The sequence below is a fragment of the Homo sapiens genome, chromosome 12 (assembly GCF_000001405.40).
Source record: "Homo sapiens chromosome 12, GRCh38.p14 Primary Assembly".
Taxonomy (NCBI): Eukaryota; Metazoa; Chordata; class Mammalia; order Primates; family Hominidae; genus Homo; species Homo sapiens.
Window position 1 is genome coordinate 127135267 of NC_000012.12, and position 23256 is coordinate 127158522.

Sequence of the window (23256 nt, forward strand, 5' to 3'; positions counted from 1 at the left end):
GGAATACTATGCAGCCATAAACAAGAATGAGATCATGTCCTTTGCAGGGACATGGACGGAGCTGGAGGCCATTATCCTTAGCAGACTGACACAGGAACAGAACACCAAATCCTGCATGCTCTCACTTATAAGTGGGAGCTAAATGATAAGAGCACATGGACAAATAGAGGGAAACAACACACACTGGGGCCTATCAGAGGGTGGAAGGTGGGAGGACGAGGAGGATAAGGAAAAATAACTAATGGGTACTAGGCTTAATACCTGGGTGATAATATAATCTGTAGAACAAACCCCCAGGACACATGTTTTCCTATGCATCAAACCTGCACAATGTGCCCCTGAACTTAAAATACAAGTTAACCAACAAAAAAGAAATTCTGGTATTCCTTAAATGATCAGGTAGTCTGTGAAATGTCCCTCCATTGAGATACACCTGGTGTTTTTCTTGTGAATAGACAGGAGTGATGTGTTTGGGGGAGAAAGACCACACAGTCAAGTGCCATTCTTGTCATATCATATCAAGGGTATATATCATCATGTGACTTTATCACTACTGATGTTATTAAACTTGATCCTTTGGCTAAGTAGTGCTTGTTGTGATTCTCCACTGTACAATTACTTTCCCTCTGATTTCCATACTTTTCTCTTTGGAAGGACGTTACTATGCATAGTCCAAAGCTTAAGGAGCAGTAAGTTATACTCACTTCTTGAAGATTGGCTATCTACATAAATGACATGGAATGCCTCTGCACAGATTTGTCCATTCTCTCCCAGTTATGTCAGTGTTCACTCCTGGATGTTAATTTCATATTTGGGTTATAATACTATTTCATTTATTTCTTTGCTCATATTGTCCCAGGCTTGGCCCTTGGGAGCCCTCAGCTGGCTCTCCATCATGTTGACATCACAATTTTTTTTTTTTAAGCTCTTCGTTACTTACTTGTACTATGAGATGCTCCAGGATCATCTTATGTATTTCCTACCCTGGTCATAAAGTCAGACATTTCTCCAAAGATACTAGGTTCTGTTATTTATATGATGTAAGAAACCAACATTGGGGCTGTAGTGTGCTCATTCATATTGGGGTGTTCTTTCTATTTCCTCTGAGCTGACAGAGCAAAGAAATATATATGCATATACTAACCCACATGCATGCATCTATGAATATATCCACATGCTACCTTACACAGATATATCTATGTTGAAGTAAATATTATTTCATATGGATGCTCTCAGCTCTAATCTATTATTATATAGATCATCACACCCTCCTTCCTTGTTCAGCTGTAAGTTCTTAATGTGAAAAACCTGGACCCCACTGTATACAGTCCATTTACATATTTATTTCCAGAATACATGTTAGAGTGGTTTTACAATTGTCAACATCAACCCATGTGAAAAACAGTTCTATCAAATAAAGTACAATGTTTCTGTGCAGTACATTTTGTTGAGTTTTAAAGACTCCACTAAACTTCCAAAGTAATTTAGGTCAGTAACCCCCATCCCTGAAGCTTCAGAGAAGTTGTTTCATGTATTTGTAATATGGTTCAATTTTTTGGCACGTTCTGCATTTCATCCTGTGATTTCCTGCACTCCTAATATTTTCTGATTTGTATACATTCACTCCTTGTGCTTTTATCAGTATGTAATGTTGCTCTTTAGCAATGACAATATTTCTTGTTCTGAAGTCTGCTTTTCCTGAAATTAATGTAGATACTACAGCTTTCTTTTGATTGTTGTTATCATGGTATGCCTTTCTCCATCTCTTTACTTTTCTGATTCTCTATATTTAAAGTAGATTTCTTATAGGTAATATATAGTCAAATCTTGTTTGTTTATAGACTGTTTATAACAGTCTCTGTCTTTTAATTGGTATAATTTGACCATTCACACTCATATATATATAAATATTACATGTTTGTTACTGTTTACTATTCCTTTGTTCTTTTTTTCTTTTCCGTTTCCTTCTGCCTTTTCTGGTTTTGTCTTTATTTTTACTTTTTAATTCTATATGCTAATTAGTGTTCTTTTTCTTTGTTTCTTCTAAAAAAATGGGATACATGTGCAGATCCTGCAGGTTTGTTACATAGGTATACGTGTGCCATGGTGGTTTGCTGCACCTATTGACCTGTCCTCTAAGTTCCCTCCCCTCACCCCTCACTCCCCAACAGGCCCTGGTGTGTGTTATTCCCCTCTCTGTGTCCATGTGTTCTCAATGTTCAACTCCCACTTATGAATAAGAACATGTGGTTTTTGGTTTTCTGTTCCTGTGTTAGTTTGCTGAGGATGTTGGGTTCCAGCTTCATCCATGTCCCTTCAAAGGACACGATCTCATTCCTTTTTATGACTGCATACTATTTCATGGTGTATATTTACCACATTTTCTTTATCCAGTCTATCATTGATGGGCATTTGGGTTGGTTCCATGTCTTTCCTATTGTAAACAGTGCTGCAGTAAACATATGTGTGCATGTGTCTTTATAGCAGAATGATTTATATTCCACTGGGCATATACCCAGTAATGGGATTGCTGGGTCAAATGATATTTCTGGTTCTAGATCCTTGAGGAATCACCATCCTGTCTTCCACAATGGTTGAACTAATTTACATTCCCACCAACAGTGTAAAAGCATTCCTGTTTCTCCACAGCCTCACCAGCATCTATTGTTTCCTGACTTCTTAATAATCACAAGTATTCCTTAATAATCGCCATTCTGACTGGCATGAGATGGTATCTCATTGAGGTTTTGATTTGAATTTTCCTGATGATCAGCGATGTTTAACTTTTTTAATAAGTTTTTTGGTCGCATAAATGTCTTCTTTTGAGAAGTGTCTGTTCATATCCTTTGATGGGGTTGTTTGTTTTTTTCCTGTAAATATGTTTATGTTCCTTGTAAATTCTGGATATTAGATTTTGGTCAGATGGTTAGATTGCAAAAATTTTCTCCCAATCTGTAGGTTGCTAGTTCATTCTGATGATAATTTCTTTTGCTGTGAGGAAGCTCTTTAGTTTAATTATATTCCATTTGTCAATTTTGACTTTTGTTGCAAATGCTTTTGGCATTTTTGTCATGAAGCCTTTGCCCATGCCTATGTCCTGAATGGTATTGCCTAGGTTTTCTTCTAGGGTTTTTATGGTTTGGGGTTTAACATGTAAGTCTCTAATCCATCTTGAGTAAATTTTTGTATAAGGTGTAAGGAAGGGTTCCAGTTTCTGTTTTCTGCATATGGCTAGCCTGTTTTCCCAGCACCATTTACTGAATAGGAGATCCTTTCCCCATTGCTTGTTTTTGTCCAGTTTGTTGAAGATCAGATGGTTTTAGATGTGTGGTGTTATTTCTGAAATCTCTGTTCTGCTCCATTGGTCTATGTGTCTATTTTGGTACCAGTACCATGCTGTTTTGCTTACTGTAGACTTGTAGTATAGTTTGAAGTCAGGTAGCATGATGCCTCCAGGTTTTTTTTTTTTTTTTGCTTCAGATTGTCTTGGCTGTACAAGGTCTTCTTTGATTCCATGTGAATTTTAAAATAGTTTTGTTTCTAATTCTCTGAAGAATGTCAATGGTAGTTTGATAAGAATAGCTTTGAATCTATAAATTATTTTGGCCAGTATGGCCATTTTCACAATATTGATTCTTCCCATCCTTGAGGATGGAATGTTTTTCCATTTATTTGTGTCCTCTCTTATTTCCTTGAGCAGTGGTTTGTAGTTCTCTTTGAAGAGGCCTTTCACATCCCCTGTTAGCTGTATTCCTAGGTATTTTTTCTCTTTTTAGCAATTGTGAATGGGAGTTCATTCATGATTTGGCTCTCTCCTTGCCTATTGTTGGTGTAAAGGAATGCTTGTGATTTTTACACATTGATTTTGTATCCTGAGATTTTGCTGAAGTTGTTTATCAGTTCAAGAAGTTTTTGGGCTGAGATGACAGGGTTTTCTAAATATAAAATCATGTCATCTGCAAAAAAGACAACTTGACTTCCTCTCTTTCTGTTTGAATACCCTTTATTTCTGTCTCTTACCTGATTTCCCTGGCCAGAACTTCCAATACTATGTTGAATAGGAGTGGTGAGAGAGGGCATCCTTGTCTTCTACTGGTTTTCAAAGAGAATGCTTTCAGCTTTTGCCCATTGAATTTGATATTTGCTGTGGGTTTGTCATAAATAGCTCTTATTATTTGGAAATATGTTCCATCAATACCTAGTTTATTGAGAGTATTAAACATGAAGGGATGTTGAATTTTATCAAAGGCCTTTTCTGCATCTATTGGGAAAATCTTGTGATTTTTGTCTTTGGTTCTGCTTATATGATGGATTACGTTTATTGATTTGTTTATGTTACGTTTATTGATTTGTTTATGTTGAACAGCCTTGTATCCCAGGGATGAAGCTGACTTGATCATGGGGGATAAGTTTTTTGATGTGCTGCTGGATTCAGTTTGCCAGTATTTTATTGAGGACTTTTGCATGGATGTTCATCAGGGATATTGGCCTGAAGTTTTCTTTTTCTGTTGTGTTTCTGCCAGGTTTTGGTGTCAGGATGTTGCTTGCTTCATAAAATGAGTTGGGAGGAGTCCCTCCTTTTCAACTGTTTGAAATAGTTTCAGAAGGAATGGTACCAGCTCCTTTCTGTATTTCTGGTAAAATTCAGCTGTGAATCCGTCTGGTCCTGAGCTTTTTCTGGTTGGTAGGCTATTAATTACTGCCTCAATTTCAGACCTTGTTATTGGCCTATTCAGGGACTCCATTTCTTCCTGGTTTAGTCTTGGTAGGATGTATGTGTCCAGGAATTTATCCATTTCTTCTAGATTTTCTAGTTTATTTGCGTAGAGGTGTTTATATTATTCTCTGATAGTAGTTTGTGTTTCTGTGGGGCCAGTGGTGATATCCCCTTTATCATTTTTTATTGTGTCTATTTGATTCTTTTCTCTCTTCTTTATTAGTCTAGCTAGTAGTCTATCTATTATGCTAACTTTTTCAAAAACCCAGCTCCTGGATTCATTAATTTTTAGAGGGTTTTTCATGTCTCTATCTCCTTCAATTCTTCTCTGATCTTAGGTATTTCTTGTCTTCTGCTAGTTTTTGGATTCGTTTGTTCTTTGCTGTCTAGCTCTTTTAATTGTGATGTTAGAGTGTTGATTTGAGAAGTTTCTAGTTTTCTAATGTGGGCATTTAGTGCTATAAATTTCCTTCTTAACACTGCTTTAGCTGTGTCCCAGAGATTCTGGTACATTGTCTCTTTGTTCTCATTGGTTTCAAAGAACTTGTTGATTTTTGCCTTAATTTCATTATTTACCCAGGAGTCATTCAGGAGCGGGTTGTTCAATTTCCCTGAAATTGTATTGTTTTGAGGGAATTTCTTAATCCTGAGTTCTAATTTGATTGCACTGTGATCTGAGAGACTGTTTGTTATGATTTCAGGTCTTTTGCATTTGCTGAGGAGTGTTTTACTTCCAATTATGTGGTCAATTTTAGAATAAGTTCCATGTGGTACTGAGAAGAACATATATTCTGTTGATTTGGGGTACATAGTTCTGTAGACATCTACTAGGTCCACTTGATCCAGAGCTGAGTTCAAGTCCTGAATATCCTTGTTAACTTTCTGCCTCATTGATCTGTCTAATATTGACAGTGGGGTGTTAAGATCTCCCATTATTGTGTGGGAGTCTAAGTGTCTTTGTAGGTCTCTAAGAACTTGTTTTATGAATATGGGTGCTCTGGTATTGGGTGCATATATATTCAGAATAGTTAGCTCTTCTTATTGAATTGTTCCCTTTACTATTACGTAATGCCCTTCTTTGTCTTTTTTTATCTTTATTTGTTTAAAGTCTGTTTTGTCAGAGACTAGGATTGCAACCCCTGCTTTTTTTTGCTTTCCATTTGCTTGTTAAATTTTCCTTCCATCCCTTTATTTTGAGCCTGTGTGTGTCTTTGCATGTAAGATGGGTCTCCTGAATGCAGCACACCAATGGGTCTTGACTCCTTATCCAATTTGCCAGTCTGTGTCTTTTAATTGGGGCATTTAGCCCATTTACATTTAAGGTTAGCATTGTAATGTGTGAATCTGATCCTGTCATCATGATGCTAACTAGTTATTTTGCACACGAGTTGATGTAGTTTCTTCAGTGTCATTGGTCTTTATATTTTTGTGTGTTTTTGCAGTGGCTGGTATCGGTTTTTCCTTTCCATGTTTAGTGCTTCTTTCAAGAGCTCTTGCAGGACAGGCCTGGTGGTAACAAAATCCTTCAGGATTTTCTTGTCTGGAAAGGATTTTATTTCTCCTTCACTTATGAAGCTGACTTTGTCTAGATATGAAATTCTGGGTTGAAAACTCTTTCCTTTAAGAATGTTGAATATTGGCCCCCAATCTCTTCTGGCTTGTAGAGTTTCTGCAGAGAGGTCCATTGTTAGTCTGACGGGCTTCCCTTTGTGGGTGACCTGACCTTTCTCTCTGGCTGCCTTTAAGAGTTTTTCCTTCATTTTGACCTTGAAAAAATCTGATGATTATGTGTCTTGGGGTTGATCTTCTCCTGGAGAGTCTTAATGGTGTTCTCTGTATTTCCTGAATTTGCATGTTGGCCTGTCCTGCTAGGCTGGGGAAGTTCTCCTGGATAATATCCTGAAGTGTGTTTTCCAGCTTGTTTCCATTCTCCCTGTCTCCTTCTGGTACTCCAATCAATTGTAGGTTCAGTCTTTTTATGAAGTCCCATATTTCTTGGAGGCTTTGTTCATTCCTTTTCATTCTTTTTTTCTCTATTCTTGTCTGCATGTCTTATTTCAGTAAACGTGGTCTTCAAACTCTGATATTCTTTTTTCCACTTGGCCAGTTCAGCTGTTGATACTTCGGTATGCTTCACAAAGTTCTCTTGCTGTGTTTTTCAGCTTCATCAGGTCATTTATGTTCCTTTCTAAACTGGTTATTCTAGTTATCAATTCCTCTAATGTTTTATCAAGGTTCTTAGCTTCTTCATGTTGGGTTAGAACATGCTTGTTTAGCTCATAAAAAAAAAAAAAGCTCATCATAGTTTTTTATTACCCATCTTCTGAATCCTACTTCTGTCAATTCGTCCATCTGATTCTCTGTCCAGTTCTGTGCCCTTGATGGAGAGATGTTGGGATCATTTGGAGAAGAGGAGGCACTCTGGCCTTTTGAGTTTTCAGCATTTTTTCATTGATTCTTTCTCATCTTCATGAGTTTGTCTAGTTTTGGTTTTTGAGGCTGCTGACCCTTGGATGGGGTTTTTATGCGGGCCTTTTTGTTGTTGTTGTTGTTGTTGATGCTGTTGTTGTTCCTTTCTGCTTGTTTACTTTCTTTCAATAGTCAGGTCCCTCTTCTGTAGGGTGGCTGCAATTTGCTGGGGGTTCATTTCAGGTCTTATTCATCTGATTCGGTCCTGTGCCTGGAAATGCCACTCGACAAGGCTGGAGAGCAGCCAAGATGTTTTCCTCCTCCTTCTTCTGGGACCTCTGACCTCAAGGGGCACCAACCTGATGCCAGTAGGATTGCCCCTGTATGGGGTGTCTAACAACCCCTGCTGGAGGGTCTCACCCAGTTGGGTGACACAGGGAGCAGGACCCATTTAACAAAGCACTTTGTCCCTTGGTGGAGAGGGTGTGTTTCACTGGGGGAAGCCCACTTGTCTAGGCTGCCCAGATTCCTCAGAACTACCAAGAGGAGAGGCTAAGTCTGCTGATCTGCAGACTGTGGCCACCCCTCCCCCTGGGGGCTCAGGCCCAGGGAGATCCTCTGGCTGGAGTTATTGGAGATTCTGCAGGGAAGCCCCGCCCACTGAAGAAGGATGGGTCAGGGTTAGACCTGAAGAGGCACTCTGGCCACAGACTGGCACAGCCCATGCGTTGAGCTGTGGGACAAGTCTTGGGACCAAGCTGTCCAGCCTCCTTGGCTCCACCAGCAGAAAAACGCAGCCTGGAGCTATAGAAATGGGTGGCACCCTTCCCCTGCCCATGGAGCTTAGCTTGTTAGGCAGTTGCGAGTCCCAGTACTGGCTGCTGCCCCTCCCCCATGAGGCTAAAAGGCTTAGAGAGCAGGCAGCTGAAGCAGGTGCAAGTCGCCCCTCCCATTAGGAGTTCCTCAGGCTTAAGCAGATTCCAGCTGAGAGGATGTAAGAATCTGCGTGTTCCAGGGTTGGGAGGCTAGGCCCTGGTGGGGTGGGTTCGTGACTGGGATCTTCCGATCCGTGGGTTGCATACTTCCGTGGGATAAGCACAGTTTCCTAGGCTGGGTGGCATGCTCACTCACTGCGTCCCTTGGCTGGGGGTAGGGGGTTGCGGTGGCTCTCAGGTGGGCTGCCACACCACACCGATCTTCCTTCTCTCCGTGAGTCACGCCACCCTTCTAGTCAATTTTGATGAGAGAATCTGGATACCTTGGTTGCCAGTGAAGGATTCACACACTTATTATGTTTTTCTTTTCTTTTTTTTTTTTTTTTTTTGGAGCCTCTGAATGCATCTGCTTCTAGTTGGCCATCTTGGCCCTGCCCCTCCCCTTTTCTGGTGTTAATTGGGCATTTTATTTGATTCTATATTTTATTTGGTCTTAGTATGTGAATTATAGTTCTTTTTAATTTTTGTGTATGCTTGCCCTAGAGTTTGCAATATACATTCACAAATAATCGAAGTCCACCTTCAAATAGCATTATACTATTTCACATGTAGTACAGAAATCTTCCAATACAATATGACTGATTCATATGACATTACTGTTACTGACTTCACTTATCCAAAAACTATAATCACCCAATGTATTGTTAATATTGTTACTTTAACAGTTACCATTTAGTCCAATTACAAGAAAGAACAATAGTTTTATCTTTTTCTGATGATCTTTTTTTCCTTATGGAGATCTGAGTTTTTGACACTATTGCATTACTGTCACAAGACAAAATTACACTTCCACTTCATGAGCAATGCTTTTGTTCTAGATGTAACTTCTTGCCACCTTCATTACACAGAAGAGATATCTGCTTGCAAAACTTTACAGTTCAGAGAGGTTTTTGTGGTTAATATTTCAAAGCTACCCAGTGACAGACATAAAATTATGTACCTCATTTATCACTGTGAGAGCTTTGATTATATTTCCCAACCCCAGCTTCATGCCAAACTTTGCATCTGGAATTCACAGTTGCTACCTCTGTAAACCACTGCTTAGGATGCTATCTTGGTGCCCTCCACAGCATACAGGATCATGAATAACTATATATGCAAATTATAGTAGCATGAGGTAGAAAGGTCGTGGCAGTCTGAAAATAAATACTCAATGTGCAGAATCACCACCACCATCGCTATTCCAACCCCTCTCCTTCGAGTTACATTTTTCACTGTGGCTGCACCATCCTAAAATATTCTGTATTTATAACCAGTTCCCCTTTCAATTTAGGGGAAATGAGAATAGTATATTGTCCTCTCTAGGCAGCGATTTTGGGGAGATGTTTTCATGTGTTATAATCATTAGGACTGCTCATACATATTCTGGCTTTCTCTTATTTGGGGCACATGGTGGGATTCTACATTCTCTCCCATTTGAAGGTCAGTTTACATTTGTAACTTGTTTTGACCAGTGAAATATGTGCAAGGATGGTATCATTTCTGGACTGAAGCTTTAAGAGACAGTGCAAGTACTGCCAGTTCTCTCCTTTGTTCTATAATGTCTGACAGTCCTGAGATGAGAACAATGCAAAGTACAGCACTCCAGCTCCATTCGAAAGGCAGGTTGCATGAGTAAGATATAAGCCTCGCGTCTGTATCTCAAGTAGCACCCCCTCTAAAAATACGCTATCTGTTCACCTTAATTTACTTTTGGCTTTGTAGCAAAAAGTCACTATCTGAAATTATATTGTGTATTGATCTATTTTCGGGCTTACTGCCAGTCTGTCTAGAGATGAGAACTCTGTCTCTCCTATTCAAGACCATAACCCTGTTGCCTTGAACGATGCCTGAAGCACGGCAAGTGCTCGGTCAAGTTTCTCTGAAAAACAGAATTAATAAATGGCTTAAATTGGAAATCAGTTTTCACAAATAAACTAAAACTTGAAACTAAAACTTGATGAAGCCTTACTTTAGGCACCTTCATACAAATTACATGCAACAAAAACATTTCTTATGCACTTGCTATTCAGGGAATGCTTCCAGCTCACAGCTTTCCCTCTTTAGAATTCCCCATTAATTAGAAATGAAGGGCAATCTGTGATGGGAACGCTGATTTATCAGTAGGGTTTTCTCTCTCTCTCTCTGTCTCTCTCTCTCTCTCTCTATATATATATAGATATAGATATAGATATAGATATAGATATATAGCGAGTAGGTAAACAAGCAGGAGACTCTAAACAAAGCCATGGGCACAAATTACTGGGAAAAAAAGATACAAATGGAAGGAATGACACAGCCGGCTGCTTATGTTATCATCATTTCCCTGTCCCTTGCCTTTCCAGCAGAGTCAACTTTGAGCCCTGTTGCAATGGTTCTTCTTCTAAGAAAATGATGACACCCGGCTTTGTAAAAGAATTCTTTGCTCCCTGGAATGTGATGTACTGGAACAAGATGCATTTCCACGTCTGTAACAAAACAAAGAAAAACAAAAACACTTTTAGAGACTGTAAAATAATAAAATTATCAACTGCAACACCTCAGGGACGGCCCAGATGCTCCTATGGCCACGCACCTGCAGCAGGGACCTTCTCCCAGGTCGCCCCTACCGCCTGCCCAACTCGACCCCCGTCGTCTGCGCCTGCGCCCAGGCGCCTCTCACGCACCCCGGGCCCCCACCACCCTTTCCTGAGAACGTGAGCTTCGCCGTCTGCGCCTGCGCAAGGGAGCCCACCCGCTTCGCCGGAACTACCGCGGCACGAAGCCCCGCCCCCGCCCTCCTAGCCGTGGTCGCAGCCGTGTGCGCCTGCGCGCGGGATCCTCGCCGGCCTCGCTCTCTGCGCGGTCGGCGGCGCTGCAGGCGAGCACAGGACGATGACGAAGAGGACGGGGCTGCTGAGCGATCCCCAGCACCCAAGGACCTGGAGCCCCAGGTCGCAGCCTCAGGACCCGGAGGATGTGCCCAGCACCTCCAGGAGACGCGCGGACGAGGTCGTCGCCCCGCGGCTCGCCAATCAGGCGTAGTGTGGAGACAGGGCGGGGAGTACGCTGGCGGCCGTGTAGACCCGCAGCACGACACGGTGGACTCAGCCCGGGAGGGAGTCTAGCTGCGGGCCATGTCCAGCGTGGATTCCAGAACCCGCCGCCTAGAGTCGCGGGGCGTCCTGAGGGAGAACTGGCCCCTAGTGGGAGTTGGGCGCGTCCCTGGAACCTCCCCTCCTCGAGGGCTGGGAGTTAGCGGGAAGAAGAAGAGGCCGCGGGCACCATGATTCAGACCCGGAAACTACGCCTCCAGGCATGGCTAGGAGAAATGGGCTTCGGAGACCATGGCCACCCCTCTCCCTGCCTAGGAGCACGCCTGCCCCAGCACCCGGGCCTGAACGCAGCGAGAGCTCCAGAGCCTGCGAGTCCCAGAGGTCAGGATCCGTTCCTTCTGAGGTGTCCCTAGGAGCTCCCTGAACCTCAAGCCAAAGGCCAGGCTACGGTGGTCAAGTCCCCCAAGTAGGGGGTCTTTTAAAATACTTGGGTGGCTGGGACGGTGGCTCAAGCCTGTAATCCCAGCACTTTGGGAGGCCGAGGCGGGTGGATTGCTTGAGCTCAAGAATTCAAGACCAACGTGGGCAGCATAGCAAGACTCCCTACAAAAAAAATAATAATAAGATTTTATATATATATATATATATATATATATATGTACACACACAAACACGTACACAAAAAATAGCCGGGCATGGGGCTGCAGGCCTGTAGTACCAGTTACTGGGGAGGTTGAGATGGGAGGATTGATTGAGCCTAAGAAGTGGAGGCTACAGTGAGCCAAGATTGCATCACTGCATGCCAGCCTGGGCAACAGAGCAAGACCCTGTCTCAAGGGAGGAAAAAATAAAAAAATAAATAAAAATTTAAAAAAAGAACACTTGAAGTTACTCAGATCAGGACTCATGCAGAGAAAAGCCAACAGGAGCAACACCCCACATTAGGGGAGGAAGACACCTGGGGATTCACTGACTTCAGTTGTGTGAATTTTACCCTATGACCTTGCTTGCTTTATGAGACAGCAGAGGTGGCCAAGGTCAATCCTACTGCTCTGTGGTGAACTCTGCTTTTCTCTCGTTACCATAGGTAAAGGGTCATGCTCCTATGTAAGCCTTCCTGTTCCCCAGTCATTTGTGCACGGGGTAGGCCATCATCTCCTGCCTATTCAAGGGAATGACTAGTCCTGTCTTCTGTATCCTCAGTCACCAACTTCTCAGTTAGTGTTGGACCAAGCCTATGTTCAAAACATGACTGAGACAGACCTCAATCCATAGAGATTTATTTAGCCAAGGTCCAAGGACACATCTAGGAAAAAATACGGGATCACAGGAGCATCTGCGCCTTCTACTTTTTCCAAAGAGGGTTTTGGGAACTTCAGTATTTAAAGGGGAAACAGCAAGCAGGTGAGGAAAAAAAGCGAGGAAGTGTAGGCAATGACAGATGCTCACATTCTTGTGAAACTCTGTTTACCCTAGTAAATCTGCATTTTACATGTGAAAAGAGGGAGTAAAGGAAATAGTCAATAATGCATTCCTCTCAGGATAGGCCCACGTGGATTTTTAATCTTGTCCTTGCCCTGTGAAGATAAGCTGGTAACTGACATTGTCAGGGTGAGATTCAGCAGAACTCAGTTTTAGGACTAACTTACAGAGGAGCTGTGTATCCTGAAGATTCAGCGACTGGCAAGGAATTTCCTTGGGAGCAATGTGTGAGGGAGGCCATCTGAGGAGATCTGTGGCTTTCTTTTGTTGTGGGAATCTGGCTTATGGATGAATCTACGACACAGGATTGTGAAATTACAGCTCTTTGGGAACAAAAGGAAGGCAGTATTGCATGACTTAGTTTCCCAGCTTCACTTTCCCTTTGGCATGGTGAGTTTGGGGTCTTGAGAGTCTATTTTCTTTCACACCCATCAGCACTGTTAAGTAAGCAGGAAGACAACCTGAGGTTGTCTCTTTACTTTGAGTTCCTACATAATAAATTGCAGCCTAATTTAGTACATAAACCCAAACCTAATTTAGGAGTAAATTTTTTGTAGCAGATAGCCAGATTTCAGCCAATCACAGGCTTCCAGCTAACAAGACTATGCCCAAATAAGGCAAATGCCTCATCACATGATGCTCAAATAAGGCAGCCACCTAGGCGAGGCCAATCAGGTAACTTTTCTACTTTGCTTAATTGTTCAGCCTGTACAAATTTGCTGCTTATGACTGCTGAGCAGAGCTGTCTAAACCTCTTCTGGTTTGGAGTGCTGCCTTATATATGAATTGTTCTTTGGTCACATAAAATTGGTTAAATTTAACTTCTCTAAAGTTTTGTATTAAATTGTATGTAAAACATTGGTAGCACAATTTGGATTCAGATACCCAAATATTGACTATGATAATGTAAATAATCCTTAAGCAGACTGATTTACAAAGGCCTGAACAAGTTTGATATTCTGAATATTCACTTCTTCTGATGAAAAAATTGCCAAGACCTTACAATTGGCAGGAAAAAAAATGTGTGTTGGTTAAATAAGTTATGTTAACAACAAGAACATTACCACAATTAGAAAACTCTTACTATGCCAGGCACTATTATAAACACACCTTTGTACCTTTTTTAATCCTGAAAAATTTCTAATAAATATGCATTTAATATTATTTGTATTTAATATTAAGTGTATTTAATATTGCCCCTGTTTTGTGAATTAATGCAGCAATAAACTGGCTTGCAATGGTGATGTATTCTATAAGGCAGCCATTGTTGTCATAATGCTACATAACACTACCCGAATCTCAGTTGCTTATAATTCAAGTACTTATTTTTCTTGTCCATAATCTGTGAATCCTGCTGAAATCAGCTAGACTTTGCTCCAGGATGAGGGATTGGTCCAATTCTGTTCCATCTTTCCACGCATCTTTCATCAGGTTATTAGGAAAGAGTACACTTCACTGGCTGCTCTACTGGGAGGCTTTATCTCCATTAAGTGAACCACAGAGAAAAAAGAAGAGAAGAGTTTTACTTCTGTCATCTGGTGATACATTGCTTTGGTGAATACAAGAAACCACAGGATAAGCAACAGGGCTCTTTGGTAAATTCCACAGGCTCTCCTGATAGGGCAGCCAAGTCTTTTCCCAGTAGCCAGCCCTTTGCACTAAAACATGTGGATTTTATTTCTATGGATGTTGTGAGTGTGGACCTAAACTTCTCTAAGAGAACTTGTATTTCTCAAGCCTAAAGATGTATTACATTTTTTTGTATTTGTATTTGATCCACATAAAGAAGGGGAAAAAAATTTGTGTGTGTGGATAGCATTCCAAGAAGGAACTCTAGCCCCAGGAAAGCTGCTATTTCTGCTCTTCTCCAGCTACCTGCCAACAATTTGTCCTCAAAAGAGGCTCTTTCTGACTATTTACAGATCTGTCACTTACAGATTGGCAATTTTCATGCATTTCATTCTGCTTTGCTTTACTTCATACTGGCATCATCTTTATCAGAAGGATATATAAATATAGATATATGGATATCGTTTGTCTTCCCTTTCTCCACATTAACATATTCCATGAGTGCAGGAAGTGAAATGGCATCTTTATTTCATTACTCTCTGGTCCATAATACATTCCCTGGCACAAAGGGAACACTTAAATACTTAACTATCAAAATAAAAAAATAAATAAAATCACTGGATATGGAACATGCTCATTATTAAATGTTTTTCTAGCACTCTACCAGAAAACTATCAGCCACTGTTCCACCACGGTGCTTTCCCTCTCTTGCTTCTTGCACCTCCTCTGATGTTCTTCCTTTTTGTTAGTTCCAGTTCCACATCACAGTCACGCAAATGTAAGAGAATGGAGAATGCAGTCCTTTCTCAGCTGGGCACAAAGTAATGCTGAGTGAAACAGAAGTTGTTATTGTGGAAGAGGTAGGTGCCTGAACTGGGTGTCTCCTGATAACCTTTCTCCCCATTGCTCTGTGTCCCATATTCAGAGTAGACTCACCAAAGTTCTCCTTTGCTTTCTAGCTTCCAGTCGATTTTGAAAAATTCAGAGCATGGGCAAGACATAGCAGAAAAAGAAATTGTGATTGATTGGAGTATTTATTTTCCTGGCTTCCTCCATGTGGAGTTGCTAAAGACCGGCTGCATCTTTCAGCTGCAATCACAGCTCCTGCCTGGCAGCCTTCTCGGTCTCCAGGTTGTAGGAACCTCTTTGTCTTATCTTTCAGGCCTGTGGGTGGCAATAATGTTCTTTATTAGTACTAGCCTTAAGATTTCACCAATTATTCCAGCTGTTTACTGGAAACCACAAAAAGCACACTGACTGACATCGCCACTACGTGTCTTTCTTTTAGGGGCATAATAAAGTAGGAAACACATTTATTGTCCTCCAGAGAGGGCCTCCAAGTCAACTCTGCATGTCTGACTTGCCCCAACCATTTTATGGAGTGCACTGAAGTGTTTTAAGGTCCTGCTTCCCTTCCAGAACAGCACCTTCCTTAGAGTGACTTCTTAGTGCTCCTCAGGCTCAAAGCCAGACCATGAAGATGTCATATTTTCCCTAAAACTGAAAGCTCCTTGAATCAAGGGAACATGGATATTTGACTCAACTGCTCTAGTCTTGTAGCAGACAAGACGCTGCTTCCAGCTACAGATCTTGAGAAGGCTGCCTCGCACCTATTTAAAATAACATGAAAATCAGTAGCTCACATTGCAAAGCCGAAAGAAGGAAATCCTCCAACTTCAGTCACTTCAGCTGTTCAACCAAATCCTTAATACATAGGGCTCTTTTCATCTCTCTGTTCAGCTGTCCACTAGAACAGCAGTCCCCAACCATTTGGCACCAGGGACTGGTTTCATGGAAGATAATTTTTCCATAGACTGGGGCAGGTTGGGGGGATGGGTTCAGGATGATTCAAGTAAATTACATTTATTGCGCACTTTATTTCTATTATTATTATATTGTAATAAATAATGAAATAAGTATACCACTCACCGTCATATAGAATCAGTGGGAGCCCTGGTCTTGTTTTCCTGCACCTAGATGGTCCCATTTGGGAGAGATGGGATACCGTGATAGATCATCATGCATGAAGTTCTCATAAGGAGCGTTCAACCTAGATCCCTCACATATGCAGTTAACATTCAGGTTTGTGCCTACACTGCTCTGACAGGAGGTGGAACTCAGATGGTAATGCAAGTGATGGGGAGTGGCTGTAAATACAGATAAAGCTTCACTGGCTCACCTGCTGCTTACCTCCTGCTGTGTGTGGCCCGGTTCCTAATAGGCCACAGACCAGGGTTGGGGAGCCCTGCACTAGAAGTTTCATTTGATCTATGTGCTCACATCATCACAGAGAGTCAAAAAGACAGAGAAATAATCATTTCCCTAATCAAAAACTGTAAGGTCCCTTCCTTTAGTCTGATTGAGGCAACTCAGGACATGTGTTTACCCTTGGATCAAACATTGTCATCAACAGGATCCTGGGTTTATGCATCTTGGAGCTGGCAATTAGGTCAGCTTTTCTGAAGTACAAGGAAAAAGAGAAGAAATCTTAAATCAAATTAATGTTCTCTTGGGAATGAGAAAGGGATTTGTATGTTTGTTTTCCAGGAGATTATTTTATTCTTTTTCTTCTCAGCATCTTGCTTCACCTTCTTTCTCTCCTAACCTGGCTCTCCCACTCTGTGGTCCATGTTTCAGGACCCCGTATCTGACCAGTTTCCAACTCATCTTCACTTGGGAGTTGGCTGTGAAGAGACAGGCAAGTCTCTTCATCAAGCAGGAGGAAAACATACAGCGGGAAGGAAATATGAAACGACCTCATTTCTAGTTTAACCCTTTGGATCTCCTTTGTACCACGTCTCCTTGGATGAGAAGAGTCTCCCTCTCATCAGCACATTAAGGAATCTACCATACAACTTCAGTCTTCAGTATTGCCAAAGACTAGTAACCTATGCTCCAAGAGTTAATGACTATAAGTGCATCACTGAAGCCTGTAGAAAAAGGCCCTGATGCCTCCTGCCCTAATAATTTGTATGTGTTTATTTTTTTCCATTTGCAAGATAGAAAACAAACTGGTCTGGTTACAACTAACCATAGATTTGCACCAACTATTAGAAATGGATTTTTTTATCATCAGTTTTTTTTCATGTTGTGTTCATGCTCATCCCTCAGATATTTATGTTTCAGTCTTGGGTAATTTATTTCTATTTACTTTAAATTTCCTTATGAAATAGTTTCAATTATATCACAGGTTGTTATAAATAGTTGGTGTTAAATTATATAGAGGTATTACATTGCTACTTAATGCCTGCATTTGATGTGGTTATTACAATGGTGACGCTATAGATCACCGTAGCAACAAAAACAAGAATTCATAGCCTGTTTCAAACATAAGAGGCTGAAAATATTTCATAGTTATTGAAAGCTGAGGTATGAAGCAATTTAAACATTTAGCTGCTGAGTAATTGGGATCTAGAAATACATCAACCTAGATACTGAATTTTTAGAAGAGTCAATATTGAATAATAGCACAGGTCATTTACTTTTAATTGTCTAGCCATCTGAATGCTTGAGCATGTGAACAGTAACTTCACCCATGTAGCTTATTTATCTATGTTTCATAAACAGGCTACCTTCTGAGAGTTAATTGTGTGAACAGGAAAAGTCACTACCTAATAAATTGATGTTCACTTTTACTGATAAATTTCCATAAGCATTGCCCAGGGCAGTGTTATCTTTGTCTCTATGGTAACCAATGCTATAAAGAGATAAAAGAATCAAAAGAGGGAATATCACCAGTATCATACATAAAATATATGCCTAGAATTATAGGAGATACCAGAAGATTATGCATTTTGGGGGGGATTCTTGTTTGACAGGACACATAAATCACTTGTTGCTTTACTCATTCATAGAGCTAAAAATGTGAGATAGCACCTGTGTTCTCCTGCAAATATGTGTAAGACCAATTGATGACTATGTGCTTCAAGAAGCTTCTTTGTACCATGTCTCCCTAGATAGGACGGGCGCCCTCTCTGATCAGCATGTTAAGGAATCTACCCTAACAAAAGGTTTGAAAAAGTTGGTTGGATTGGCTACATGCATAACTCGGGATCAGTTCTCTTCATGCATCTGCTAATACTCATGGTTCCTGAAAAAGACTTGATATGCTTGCTCTTTGGAAGAGGGGATTAGCTTTGACCCTTCTTCCACAGCTGTTCCAGTTCTGTTCTTCCACAGCTGTTCCAGTTCTGCTCCCAACTTTTTGACAAACTTACATAAACTACCCAAGGTAAAGACGAAAACCCAGCCCAGTTCCTGGCTTGTTTGGCAGCAACCCTGAGGCTCTTTACAGCCCTAGACCCTGAAGGGCCAGAAGGCCGTCTTATTCTCAGTATGTATTTTATCACCCAGTCAGCTCTTGACATTAGAAAAAAGCTTCAAAAACTGGAATCTGGCCCTCAAACCCCACAACAGGAATTAATCAACTTCGCCTTCAAGGTGTACAATAATAGAGAGGAGGCAGCCAAGTGACAACACATTTCTGAGTTACAGTTACTTGCCTCTGTTCTGAGACAAAACCCAGCCAGACCTCCAGCACCCAAGAACTTCAAAACGCCTAAGCCGCAGTGGTCAGGCATTTCTACGGGACCTCCTCCATCAGGATCTTGCTTCAAGTGCCAGAAATCTGGCCACTGGGCCAAGGAATGCCCACTGCCCATGATTCCCCCGCAAGCCCTGTCCCATCTGTGCAGGGACCCACTGGAAATCCGACTGCCCAGCTCGCCCGGCAGCCACTCCTAGAGCCCCTAAAGCTCTGGCCCGAGGCTCTCTGACCGACTCCTTCCCAGATCTGCTCGGCTTAGTGGCTGAAGACTAACACTGCCCGATCACCTTGGAAGCCCCCTGGACCATCACAGACGCCGAGCCTCGGGAAACTCTCACAGTGGAGGGTAAGTCCATCCCCTGTTTAATCGATATGGAGGCTACCCACTCCACATTACCTTCTTTTCAAGGGCCTGTTTCCCTTGTCCCCATAACTGTTGTGGTATTGACAGTGAAGCTTCAAAACCTCTTAAAACTCCCCAACTTTGGTGCCAACTTGGACAACATTCTTTTTTGCACTCCTTTTTAGTTATCCCCACCTGCCCAGTTCCCTTATTAGGTCGAGACATTTTAACTAAATTATCCGCTTCCCTGACTATTCCTGGGCTACAGCCAAACCTCACTGCCACCCTTTTCCCCAGTTCAAAGCCTCCTTCACATCCCCCCCTTATGTCTCCCTACCTTAATCCACAAGTATGGGATACCTCTACGCCCTCCTTGGCAACCGATCATGCACCCCTTATCATCCCACTAAAACCTAATCACCCTTACCCTGCTCAGTGCCAATATGCCATCTCACAGCAGGCTTTAAAAAGGTCAAAGCCTGTTATCACCCACCTGTTACAACATGGCCTCTTAAAGCCTACAAACTCTCCTTACAACTCTCCTATCCTACTTGTCCAAAAACCAGACAAGTCTTACAGGCTGGTCCAGGATCTGTGCCTTATCAACCAAATTGCCTTGCCTATCCACCCAGTGGTGCCAAACCCATATACTCTCCTATTCTCAATGCCTCCCTCCACAACCCATTATTCTGTTATGGATCTCAAACATGCTTCCTTTACTGTTCCTTTGCACCCTTCATTCTAGGCTCTCTTCGCTTTCACTTGGACTGACTCTGACACCCATCAGTCTCAGCAACTTACCTGGGCTGTACTGCCACAAGGCTTCAGGGGCAGCCCCCATTACTTCAGTCAAACCCTTTCTCATGATTTACTTTCTTTCTGCCCATCTGCTTCTCGTCTTATTCGATATTTTCACGACCTTCTACTTTATAGCCCCTCCTACATATCTTCCCAACAAGACACTCTCCTGCTCCTCCAACATCTATTCACAAAGGGATATCACGTATCCCCCTCCAAAGCCCAAATTTCTTCCTCGTCCATTACGTATCTCAGCATAATTCTTCATAAAAACACACGTGCTCTCCCTGCTGATCATGTCTGGCTAATCTCCCAAACCCCAACCCCTTCTACAAAGCAACAACTCCTTTCCTTCCTAGGCACATTTAGGTACTTTTGCCTTTGGATATCCGGTTTTTCCATCCTGACTAAACCATTATATAAACTCACAAAAGAAAACCTAGCTGACCCCATGGATCCTAAATCCTTTCCCCACTCCTCTGTCCATTCCTTAAAAACAGCACTAGAACTACTCCCACACTAGCTCTCCCTAACTTATCCCAACCCTTTTTATTACACACAGCTGAAGTGCAGGGCTGTGTGGTCAGAATTCTTACACAAGAGCTGGGACTGCACCCTGTAGCCTTTCTGTCCAAACAACTTGACCTTACTGTTTTAGGCTGGCCCCCACATTATTCTTGATACCACACCTGACCCCCATGACTGTATGTCTCTGATCCACCTGACATTCACTTCATTTCCCCGTATTTCCTTCTTTCCTGTTCCTCACCCTGATCACACTTGGTTTATTGATGGCAGTTCCACCAGGCCTAATTGCACTCACCAGCAAAGGCAGGCTATGCTATAGTATCTTCCACATCTATCATTGAGGCTACCACTTTATCCCCCTCCACTACCTCTCAGCAAGCTGAACTCATTGCCTTAACTCGAGCCCTCACTCTTGCAAAAGGACTGTGTGTCAATATTTATACTGACTCTCAACATGCCTTCCATATCCTGCACCACCATGCTGTTATGTGGACAGAAAGAGGTTTTCTCACTACACAAGGGTCCTCTATCATTAATTCCTCTTTAATAAAAACTCTTCTCAAGGCCGCTTTACTTCCAAAGGAAGCTGGAGTCCTTCACTGCAAAGGCAATCAAAGGGCCTCAGACCCCACTGCTCAAGGTAACACTTATGCTGATAAGACGGCTAAAGAAGCAGCCAGTATTCCTACTTCTGTCCCTCATGGCCAGTTTTTCACCTTCTCGTCAGTCACTCCTACTTACTCTCCAACTGAAAATTCCTCCTTCCAGCCTGACAGGCTCATTCCATTCTATCATCCTTTCATAACCTCTTCCACGTGGGTTACAAGCCACTAGTCCACCACTTAGAACCTCTCATTTCCTTTAAGACATTTGCCCTGCATTTCACTCCATCCTTGGCTACCTTCCTCTTGTTCTTCAGACTGTCCTCCCAGCCCCCTTTCTTGTTTACTTATACCCAGCCCCATGAATAGCAATGAAAGGTTGCTTACAGACACTGTGCGCTTTCTCATACACCATAAAAATCAAATCTCCCCCTTTATCCAGTTGCCTCATCAATCCCCATTACAACCTCTAACGGCTGCTGCGCTTGCTAAATCCCTAAGAGTCTGGGTGCAAGACACCTCTTTTGCTGCTCCCTCTCATCTTTTCACTTTACATTTCCAGTTTTGCCTTAGAAAAGTCTCTTCTTCCTCTGTGGCTTCTCCACCTACATGTGTCTACCTATCAATTGCACAGGCACATGTACACGAGTTTTCCTTACCCCCAAAAATCAATTCGCAAACAGGACCGAACAGCTTCCTGTTCCCCTCATGACACCAACACTTCACTACTATTTTGTTTTGTTTTTCTTATTATTAATATAAGAAGACAGGAATAGGCCTCGACTTACTCACTGCTGAAAAAGGAGGACTCTGTATATTTTTAAATGAAGAGTGTTGTTTTTACCTAAATCAATCTGGCCTGGTATATGACAACATAAAAAAAAACTCAAGGATAGAGCCCAAAAACTCGCCAATCAAGTAAATAATTACTTTGAACCCCTTTGGGCACTCTTTAATTGGATGTCCTGGGTCCTCCCAATTCTTAGTCCTTTAATACCTGTTTTTTTTCCTTCTGTTATTTGGGCCTTGTGTCTTCAGTTTGGTTTCTCAATTTATACAAAACCGCATTCCGACCATCACCAATCATTCTATAAGACAAATGCTACTTTTAACAACCCCACAGTACCATCCTCTGCCCCAAGATCTCCCCACTACCTAAATTCCTATGCCTTGTAACTCATTATAAAATTTTCTTTAAGGTGTCCATGCAGTCCCTGGTCATGCTTGAAGCAGTCCCGAGAAACATCACCCCTACCCTAATAATCCCCAGTAAAACTTATATTTCTTTATCTTTTCTTATAACTTTATATTTTATAAGTAAAAAGACAGGAATGTCAGGCCTCTGAGCTGAAGCTCAGCCATTGTAACCCCTGTGACCTGCACATATATGTCCAGATGGCCTGCAGGAGCCAAGAAGTCTGAGGCAACCCAAAACTACAAAAAAAGTGAAACAGCCAGCTCCTGTCTTAACTGATTGACCAGCCTTATGACATTCCATTATAACTTGTTCCTGCCCTGCCCCAACTGATTGATCGACCTCATGACATTCTTCTTCTGGACAATGAGTCTTATGATCTCCCCACCATGCACCTTGTGACCCCCTCCTCTGCTGACAACAGATAACCACCTCTAACTGTAACTTTCCACTGCTTACCCCAGTCCTATAAAGCGGCCCCTCTCCTATCTCCCTTTGCTGACTCTCTTTTCAGACTCAGCCCACTTGCACCCAAGTGAAATAAACAGCCTTGTTGCTCACACAAAGCCTGTTGGTGGACTCTCTTAACACGGACTCGCGTGACACAATTAATTTAAAACTTAACAGTGGCGATTAACCAGTTTGCACAGAGAGAAAGAGACCAGAGACTGATGTAAGAAATTCTTACCCTTCTGCCTGCATGCCGGGTTTCTGGGTTCTCTCTCCCTGAGCACCCCTGGTGACCCTGCCTGACTGTATACAAACAAACACATTGCCATGAATCAAGAATATTCACAAACACTTTACAAATTTTGAAGAAACTAGGCAGAGAGAGAGATAAATATGACTCAAATTCTATTTGTGAGAGTACACTCAACACACTTCAAGTATCAGGAAACCTAAAATCCAAAGTTTGTTTAAAGATAAAAACCTGGTGTATTCCATTAATTCCTGTAGCCCAACAAAGGTAGCTTTAGGAATTCCAGATAAATGGAATGAATGACCACTTGCTAGAAATGCATAGGAAACAAAATAACTATTCACAGAACCAAATAAAA

The 23256-nt window shown here is 41.9% G+C and overlaps 1 protein-coding gene and 2 long non-coding RNA genes across 8 annotated transcripts in view, besides 1 other annotated feature; 1 reads left to right on the forward strand and 2 right to left on the reverse strand.

The window, feature by feature from the left end:
- LOC107984449 (uncharacterized) overlaps positions 1-22764 on the forward strand; it is a 97530-nt gene extending 74766 nt beyond the window's left edge. For 2 of the 5 annotated variants that reach the window (XM_047429960.1, XM_047429961.1), the window contains one exon: positions 10446-13870. In XM_047429960.1, coding sequence (XP_047285916.1) covers positions 10656-11207 — 552 coding nt within the window. In that variant the 5' untranslated portion in view covers positions 10446-10655 and the 3' untranslated portion in view covers positions 11208-13870. Of the gene's footprint in view, positions 1-10445; positions 13871-14935; positions 15047-15145 lie in introns of those variants that run through there. The other 3 variants (XM_024449289.2, XM_024449290.2, XR_007063517.1) reach the window with 2 other exon arrangements.
- LOC107984450 (uncharacterized) lies at positions 6739-10814 on the reverse strand. 2 transcript variants are annotated; one of them, XR_007063520.1, is made up of 3 exons: positions 10676-10814; positions 10380-10568; positions 6739-8384 (listed from the first exon to the last, which is right to left on the reverse strand). It is a non-coding gene; the product is annotated as an uncharacterized LOC107984450 (long non-coding RNA). The 2 variants fall into 2 exon arrangements; XR_001749390.3 differs by lacking the exon at positions 6739-8384 and having other exon boundaries at positions 8822-10568.
- Positions 10912-11589: an enhancer, noted in NCBI's record as "H3K27ac-H3K4me1 hESC enhancer chr12:127630723-127631400 (GRCh37/hg19 assembly coordinates)". NCBI's record gives its function as "activates a minimal SCP1, AML or CMV promoter by ChIP-STARR-seq in naive H9 embryonic stem cells {active_cell/tissue: H9 hESC(naive)}" and the evidence as "EXISTENCE:reporter gene assay evidence [ECO:0000049][PMID:30033119]".
- LOC105370062 (uncharacterized) overlaps positions 14689-23256 on the reverse strand; it is a 32191-nt gene continuing 23623 nt past the window's right edge. The window contains exon 4 of the long non-coding RNA XR_945515.4: positions 14689-15350. This is a non-coding gene — a long non-coding RNA (uncharacterized LOC105370062). The remainder of the gene's footprint in view (positions 15351-23256) is intronic.